The sequence below is a fragment of the Homo sapiens genome, chromosome 22 (assembly GCF_000001405.40).
Source record: "Homo sapiens chromosome 22, GRCh38.p14 Primary Assembly".
Classification (NCBI taxonomy): Eukaryota; Metazoa; Chordata; class Mammalia; order Primates; family Hominidae; genus Homo; species Homo sapiens.
Genome location: NC_000022.11, coordinates 44,389,832 through 44,398,173, shown reverse-complemented (window position 1 = coordinate 44,398,173; position 8,342 = coordinate 44,389,832). Strand labels below are relative to the sequence as shown.

At 54.8% G+C, this 8,342-nt stretch overlaps 3 annotated features.

Moving 5' to 3' along the window:
* Positions 2,182–2,787: an enhancer, noted in NCBI's record as "H3K27ac-H3K4me1 hESC enhancer chr22:44791267-44791872 (GRCh37/hg19 assembly coordinates)". NCBI's record gives its function as "activates a minimal SCP1, AML or CMV promoter by ChIP-STARR-seq in naive H9 embryonic stem cells {active_cell/tissue: H9 hESC(naive)}" and the evidence as "EXISTENCE:reporter gene assay evidence [ECO:0000049][PMID:30033119]".
* Positions 5,113–5,991: an enhancer, noted in NCBI's record as "H3K4me1 hESC enhancer chr22:44788063-44788941 (GRCh37/hg19 assembly coordinates)". NCBI's record gives its function as "activates a minimal SCP1, AML or CMV promoter by ChIP-STARR-seq in naive H9 embryonic stem cells {active_cell/tissue: H9 hESC(naive)}" and the evidence as "EXISTENCE:reporter gene assay evidence [ECO:0000049][PMID:30033119]".
* Positions 5,992–6,870: an enhancer, noted in NCBI's record as "H3K4me1 hESC enhancer chr22:44787184-44788062 (GRCh37/hg19 assembly coordinates)". NCBI's record gives its function as "activates a minimal SCP1, AML or CMV promoter by ChIP-STARR-seq in naive H9 embryonic stem cells {active_cell/tissue: H9 hESC(naive)}" and the evidence as "EXISTENCE:reporter gene assay evidence [ECO:0000049][PMID:30033119]".

The following is an 8,342-nucleotide window of genomic DNA, read 5'->3' as shown; positions in this document are numbered from 1 at the left end:
CTACATCTTTCTCTAGTGCTGGATGCTTCCTACCCTCGAACGTCAGACTCCAGGTTCTTCAGTTTTGAGACTCAGACTGGCTCTCCTTGCTCCTCAAGCTTTCAGACAGCCTACTGTGGGATCTCGTAATAGTGTAAGTTAATAAACGCCCCCCCCCCCCCCGCAATATATATCCTATTAGTTCTGTCCCTCTAGAGAACCCTGACTAATACACTATCGGGGTCCCCAAATCCTCCGTGCAATCAGATACTCCTCTGCTTTTGCCTGGGCTGTTCCCTCCCCTGAATGCCTTTCCTTGTGTCTTCCTGTTAAAATCTGACTCCTCCCTCAAGGTGTGACAACACAGGAATGAATGAGTCCTCCTGGTGTGATGTCCAACTTCTAGGTTAATGCCTCTGGTCTCTGTCTTCAGACCGTGGGCTCCTCCATGCCACGGCCTGCGTCTTGCTCCTCCCAGGTCCCCACAGCCAGCACAGGGCAGGTGGATGTCCAGGGAACAGAGGGTGTCATAGGAAAGAACAATCTCATAATATAATATAGATGGGAGAGCAAGGAATACCCTCACCCAAGAAGAGATGTTGAAGCTGGGACCTGCTGGGGTTGGCCAGGGGAAGTTGGGAGACCAGCTTTCCGGGGAGAGGAAGTGGCAGGTGCCAAGGCCTGGAGGTGGGGGCGAGATTGGTGCGATCCTTAGAAATGGAAGTGTGAGACCTGTGAGACCTGTGAGGCTGGGGACAGCACAAAGGCACGTGAAGTCTCAGGTTTGATAGCACCATGATGACGCAGAGCTCCCATCTTATCCTCATTTTACAGTGAAAGAAACAGGTTCAGGGAGGCAGACTCACTTGGTGAAGGTCATGTGGCAAAGGCAGAGGGGTGCAAATGCAGGCCTTGAACCCCATCCCACGCAACCGCATCCCGTGCTATTTCACCCCAAGCCACAGCCTCCTTGTTTGCGTGAGTTACCTAAGCAGGCAAATGGCCTGTGTCCTGCAGAAGCCTCTCTCCGTCCAGGGAGGCTGCAGGTACTGGCTGCCCTTGCTCTACTGGGGCACCTATGGTTGTCCTGAAAAATGAGTGATTTGGGTTCATTATTTCCTGACATTGCTGGTGCTTTGTTTTGCTTCAATGAGCGCTACCGAACTGAGTATTTCCTCAAAGAGCCTTGAGCAGGCAGCCTGGGAGGAGCCAGCCACAGCCTCTGCACAGACTCGATTTCTGCCTCTCTCCCTGATGCTTCAACTGCCTCTGCAGTGAGAAGGCTTCTGGTGATGTTTTAATGTATTTATGAGTGAAATGAATTTCAGGCTCCAGGGACCCCCTGGACACAGCTGGTTCGGGGACCATGGAGCCTCTTTGTAGGAGCACAGGGGCGAGGCTTGCATCTCCACCTTCCCCTATTGCCAGTGCAGCCTGCTGGACCGAGGACCCCAGGGGATGGCCCTGTCTCCTGCAAGAGTCCATCAGGGGTGGTGTTGGAGAGCCAGCAGTGACCTGCCTGGGTTCCAGTCCCAGCTCTGCCATTTACCGGCCCACTAACTCTGCACTAATTTACCTCTCTGAGCCTCAGTTTTGTCATCTATAGAATGGGAACAATTAGGCAAGTGTGCTTTGAGAAGAAAACAAAATAATCCACTTGGACTGCTTAGCACAGGGCATGGCACAGCACAGAGGAAGCACCCACAGGAGCTACCATTGCCACGGTGTTACCCTGAATTATAGAAGGATGCTGGGCTTATCACCATCAAGCAAATAGCCCAGGACACAGGGATAAGTTCTGGCCACCAGGCCTGAGACAGCCCCCTCCCGTCTCGCCTCCCCGCCACCTCCCCCATGGAGGGGGGGATTCCTGTCTCTTACTCCGGGATTCCCATCTCTTCTTTGGACCTCTCATGTCCCTGGTCAGTTTGGCTTCAGTGTTTCTCGCTTGCTGATCCCTCTGATCCCCTCTCCCATTCGTCAACTGGTGCGCCCTCATTCCCCTGCGCTCAGCCTCTGTTCTGCCTCCTGGAGGGCCTCCCGGACCACCCCATGCCAACAGCCCCACCTCTGCCCATCTCACAGTCATGGCTTGCTCTCAGCACATGCTCCTGACCACGTCCCCTCCTCTGCCATTAAGTTGGCTTGTTCTGGAAGGGTGACACAGCCACATCTTTCTAGTTTCTCCCCACCCCCTCCCTTTTTAATTAAAAAAGTTACATATGCACATGGTTATGTAGAATACATATAAAATCTTACGGAAGAGTAGAAAAGAAGAGTAAAAACCGCCTCTGCTCCCATCCCCCTGCCGAGACCCGCTCCCCTGAGGCAACAGCTGTTCTCTGTTTTGCTTTTAATTCTATCAGCTCTCTTTCTAACTTCAAATAATCCACTTCTACCTCTTCCTTATCATCTTTGCACATTATCTGCGGGCTCTGGCTCTGAGACGCGAGGCTTGCCCAGGCAGGTCCCTATGCATCCTGCTCTCTCTCCCCGTGCCCTTCACCTCAACGGTATTTTCTTCTCCCTGTGGGCTTCAATGGACTCCATGATTTAAAGCATAGACCACCATTGCTGCCTGACCCCGGCCATCGCCCCAGACTCTTGCTCTCCTTCTGCCCGAATCGTCCCCAGCAGGCCAAAGGCAGAGGGAGCTCCTTGGACCAGGGCTCTCCCCTGTTCAGGCCTCCTACGATGCCCAACAGCAGCTGTGGTCAGGTCCAAACTCTGCTGTGGCCTCCAGACCTGCAGGACCTGGGCCTGGGACCTCTCTTGAATGCACCTTGCACCCCTCTTGCTTCACGTGCTGTGCCCCCTCCTCCACCACCTGTGCTTTTCCTCCCAGCCCCGCTGGCCGCCTTGCAATTCCTCTGGCAGGGCAGACTTCCCCCACCGGCCCCCGAGCCGGCTGAGCCCCGGGCAGGACGATCGGGTCCTTCTTGCCATTCATGCCAGGCTTGAAAGTCACCGTCCACAGGGCGTGCCCAGCATAGTGGCTCTGAGGCGCCCCTCCCAGATGAAGTCCTGCCCACCATCCGCGCCGCCGCCGTGGGGCTTCTCTCCTGTGTTGGTGGTGGGCTTCATGTCGGACCCTCCCACAGGAAGATGAACCAGTTCCGTCTTGAGCTCAGCTCTGACCTCAGTGTCTGGAGCAGTGCTTGGCCCTCATTGGGCCTGGACAAATGAGGCCGCTGGGTACATGAGCAAAGAACCTAGTCTCAGTTTCTTGATGTGCCAACCTCGAGCAGCACAGAGGGTGAAGAAATGACCCCCCCTCCACCCTTCCCCACTCAGGCTGCTGCCCAGGCTCACAGCTCCACGATCAGGGTTGGGAGCTCCACGGTCAAGGTTGAGGGCCTCTGCAATCCAGGTGGAACAACCAAAAATCGCTTGACGGCCCTTTGTCAATGGACTCATTCTACACGTTGGAAATTAACAAAGAAGCCGATGTTAGCATTGCGTGGGGGTCATTCCCTGAGGAACCTCAGAGTGTGATTGAACCCACAGACTAGGAAATGTGGTTCCAGCTCCTGAAAACCTGTGCTTAGGAGAATCCACCCAGCAGCGACTGCCGCACAGGCGTTTTCACCTGCTTCTTGTCTCGCAGCTGCTCTGCGTTGCCTTGGAAGCCCCTGTCCCCCGATCTATGCTGCCTTCTCCTTGGCCCCTGCTTAATTACAAGCAGCTCTCAAACTCTGTGCATGCATCCTAAATGCGGTGTGCGTGCAGCCTGGGCTGGGGCTTATATGTGGAAGGGCATGGGGGGTAAACCAGCTGCCTTTCTCCTCATCTTGAGAAGCTTCTGTTTGCCTTCATCCTTGAAGACAGTTCAGCTGGCACAGAACTCTGATCAAAACCTGTTCCATCAGAACTTGGCAGATATGGCTCCACTGCCTTCAGGCTTTCGTGGCTGATTGTGAGAACTCTGATACCCGCCCGTCTCTTGTTTCCTTGTCCCAGACTGCTCTTTCCCTCTGTAAGCTTTCACGATGTTCTCCTTACAGTTGTCATTCTGAAATTTCACCAGGCGTGGGTGTTTCTCCATCATTAGTCCTGCTCAACTCTTATCGGGTGCATCAGATCCATAAACATGTATCTTGCTGCAGCTCGGGGGGAAACAGTTCTTCTGTTACTCTTATTATTATTGTTGTTATTTTGACAGTCTTGCTCTGTCGCCCAGGTTGGAGTGCAGTGGCATGATCTTGGCTCACTGTAACCTCTGCCTCCTGGGTTCAAGCAATTCTCCTGCCTCAGCCTCCTGAGTTCAAGCAATTCTCCTGCCTCAGCCTCCTGAGTATCTGGAATTACATGCACATGCCACCATGCCCAGCTAATTTTTAGTAGAGACGGGGTTTCACCATGTTGCCCAGGCTGGTCTTGAACTCTTGACCTAATGTGATCTACCCATCTCGGCCTCCCAAAGTGCTGGGATTACGGGCATAAGCCACCATGCCTGGCCTATTATTTTTCAAACTATGACTTCCTCTTCCCCATTGTCCCTTGGTCTCCCCCATGAGCTGTTCTCAAAGGACTGCTAAATCTCGTTGTCAGACGCCCCTGCCCCTCAGTCCTGCAGTTCACGTCCCTCATCTCGAAGTCACTTTGCTCTGTGCTAAAGAGGTGCTTTCTCTTGTCTTCCAGAATGCCAGCCTGATCTCCAGATGAGCCTCTGATGATTCAACACACCCGTTGCACTATTTTTGTTAATTTCATCCATCTTCAGTATTCTTTGTGTCTCAGCTATTCTTTCTTGTTCCTCTGCTTCATCCTTACCACCTAGCATTCAGGCAGTTCCACGCAGGCCCACTGCCCCTGGGTTCCGGAAGTCAAAGGTCCCTGTCACCAGCAACTCTGGTTAACAAAAGAGACGAGGAACCAGGCGAGCACCTGCCATCCCAAATGCTCCTGCGCCCCGGCCAGTCTTGACCTGAGTAGTTTGTAATGCCCAACTTGGGCTTTTCTGCACCCAGCTAGGGAGACCCATCCTTCCTCCCACCTCTGGTCAAGGTTTATTCGACTCCAGCCTCTTCCTCAGCCCAGCCCAATACTGTCCTGCCCACAGGGAGGCCCCTTTTCTCTGTTGCCAGCATAGTTAGGAGTTCGCCCTCTCTCTAAGCACTTTCTGCTTTTGGCGGCCCCAGGGAGGGAAGGGCAGAGTCCTGTGAACCCAGTGTGCCATCTTGGGCAGTAAGTCCACCCTAGCAGGGGGCTAGGCTATTTTGCCTGGCAAATGGATTGATGATGTTTTTCTTTTGTTCCCCCTACGTAAATATTAAGTAAGGCATTGCTTCTCTTTCAGCTTAATCATCAGGGCCCAGTCATCCTTCAGGCACCTGTGGCTCACCCACTCCTTCTGGGGAGGGGAGGGGATGACTTGACAGGTTTATTCCCCTGGAGGCTGGGGCTGGGGCTGGGGGTTGGCCTGTCAGCTGCACTATTGCTCATTTCTCAGCTAGGCAGCCCCTGGCCCATGGTTGGGGTGTTGGCTGCTTTGGCTGGTTTGGCTCCGGGCTCAGAGCTCCACAGAAGGTACCTGGGTACCTGCTGAGCCCCTCCCATCACACATGTGATGCAACAGAGCACGTATCCTGGAGGAGGCCCTACTGTGCCCACGGCGCTGCCCCCATAGAGAGGCCCTCAAGGCATATGCCTTGGGCCAGAGCTGTGTGCCTGCTCTTTGATCAGAGCTGGTGCAGTGCCCGGGACTCACAACATGCCTTACGGATGAAGAGAAGTCCCTATTCCCAAGGTCCTGAAGTCCTTGAGGGACAATTGGGCCATCCAGAGAGACATGAGGGTCAGAGAGGAAGGTAGCAGCTCACCCCCGCACTGCAGAGAGCCTGCCGAACACCCTGCCTGTGCCCCCATGGTGTAGGTGCTCTTACTGCCCCACCTTACAGATGAGAAAACTGAGGCCCAGCTAGGTGAACCCGTGCCCGAGGCAGCCTGGTAAGTGGCGAAGCTGCCACGGAGCCTCCTTCAACCCATCTGCCAACCTTCAACTCTGTCAATGGGAAAACTCTAAGTAGCCAGCACCTTAGAAAGGCGACTTACCTGTGCCCACCCCCATGATTTACGTGTTTCCGCTCCATGATTTACCTGTGCCCGCCTCCATGATTTACCTGTGCTCACCTCCATGATTTACCTGTTCCCACCTCCATGATTTACCTGTGCCCGCTCCATGATTTACCTGTTCCTGCTCCATGATTTACCTGTTGCTGCTCCATGACTTACCTGTGCCCAACTTCATGATTTACCTGTGACCGTCTCCATGGAAACCACAAGCCTGAGATCCACGGAGGGGAAGTGGGGCTGCCTGCAGCCATCAGAAGCGCTTTCCCTGGGAGGGATATCTGAGCGGCCTGACAGACTGGGGAGGGCCAGGGAGCAGGGCGTGTTCCGGGAGACTGTGAGGATTAGGAGTTGCTGGAGTGCAGCAGGGAGTGGAGGAGAGGAAGGGGCTGCAGGTGGGGCTGGGGGCCAGGCAAATCTCAGAGCCTCAAGTGACATGAGTGCATTTAAAATCCCCACAGAGGGCAGAGGGGAGAGTGACAAGTGGCCAGCGTTGTTGTGCAGGGGTGGGTGGGGCAGGTGCCAGTGCCTAGACTCCGGGGTGGCCAGACAGGGCGCCGGATGTTCTCCCAGGGGGCTGGGTAGTCCAGAAAGACGCCTCCCACTTCCTCCTGCCCCCCGTTTCTTTGCCATTTTCTTCCTTCCAGCACCCACCCCTACCCACCCTGCTCCCCTGAGAACCATCAGGACAGAGGAGAAAGCAGTTTGGCCTGGGGTTTCCCAGGCTCTGGCTTTACAACTGACTTCCAACAGGCTGGGCCACCTTCAGGAAGTCACACGACCTCCCTGCGCCACAGTTCTTGTCTCAAAATGCAAACAGTATTCCTGCCACTGGGAGCTGTGTGAGGGCCTCACAGGTGATGGATGAGAACAGACCCTGTGGACAGAAGCAGCCGCAGGGAGGCGGCTGATCAGGGCCGTTCATTCCCCCATCCATATGGATGTATCACCCCAGGGAGAGAGGGCGTCCAGCCATCCCCTCTGGCCTCTCCCATTGGCCACAGGCTCTGAGTTCAGGCCACCACATTCAGATGTGATCAGTGGATTTGATTAATGTAGATTCCACTCATCATCACTCCTCAGAAGGGGATGTGGGTTGGAGAGTAATTATAATCAAGTTTGAGGAAAGCTGATGGTATTAATGAAAATCATTATGCTCCTGGCAGCTAAACCCAGCAAAGGGAGGAATTGACTATGTTTGAATTCCTCTTTTTAATGTTGTGTTTTCAGTTGGGAACACTTTCAAATGGCTTCTGGGGGAGAGCTGCCGCCAGGCAGGGCCATTTCTCATGCTGCAGCTTAGCTCTGCTCGGGGCGGTGGAGAGAGAAGGGGAGGGCAGCTGAGCCGGCCTAGGTTTCCTGGCCTCACTGCAGATTTCTCTGGGTCTCTCACCCTCGTGTCTCCCCATCCTTCTTGAAGATCCAATCAGGCTTCTCCGGCTAGTTACCCACCAGGTGCTTGTGGAACTTCCCGAGACACAACTCCGCCAGCCTCATCCCCGGCTGAACATGCTCTGTGGCTCCCATTGCCCTCGGGAAAAATATCCCAACTCTGAGGAGGGTCTGTCTGATCTGCTCCGCAACCCCAGCCACCTCCCACTGGCCTCTGTAGTCCCCTTCCTGCATGGGGTCCTAGGCCTTAGTGTCCAGCCCTCCACTTGGCACACCCTGCACCTTTGTCCACACTGTCCCTCTACCCAGGCACCATCCCTCCTGCCTTCCCCTGGTCACCTCCTCCTCACCTTTTAACACTTGGGTTCCTTCCTTAGTTTCCATGGGAAGAGCCCTCCCAGTCCCCCTCTCACCCCCACATCCATCCCAATGCTCCTTTGGCACCTGTGCCCCTGCCCCACCCCAAGAGCTCTATCTAATCAGTCATACTGATTTGTGCTGTGCTTGTCCCCTGAAAGAGTGGGCCTGACTCTCCCGCTTCTGTGGCCCCAAGGTCTGGCCCTGGCAGGTGCTCAGGGAACAGTCATTGATTCCTAAGAACTTCACTGGGCCCAGAGACACAGAGGTGCAAGCCACAGCCCTGCCCTCCAGGAGACCCTGGTGTGGTCACAGAGACAAGTCTCCAGTAATTGCCACATGAGGTCAGGGCAGGAGGAGGCCGCACGGAGTCATGGAGGGGCCTGGCATCTCAAAGCAGCAGGTGGCTCTGAGCTGAGCCTGTCCTTCACCCACCCTGCCCTCTTTTTTTTTATTTTAGACCGAGTCTTGCTCTGTCACCAGGCAGAAATGTAGTGGGGTGATCTTGGCCCACTGCAACCTCTGCCTCCTGGGTTCAAGCG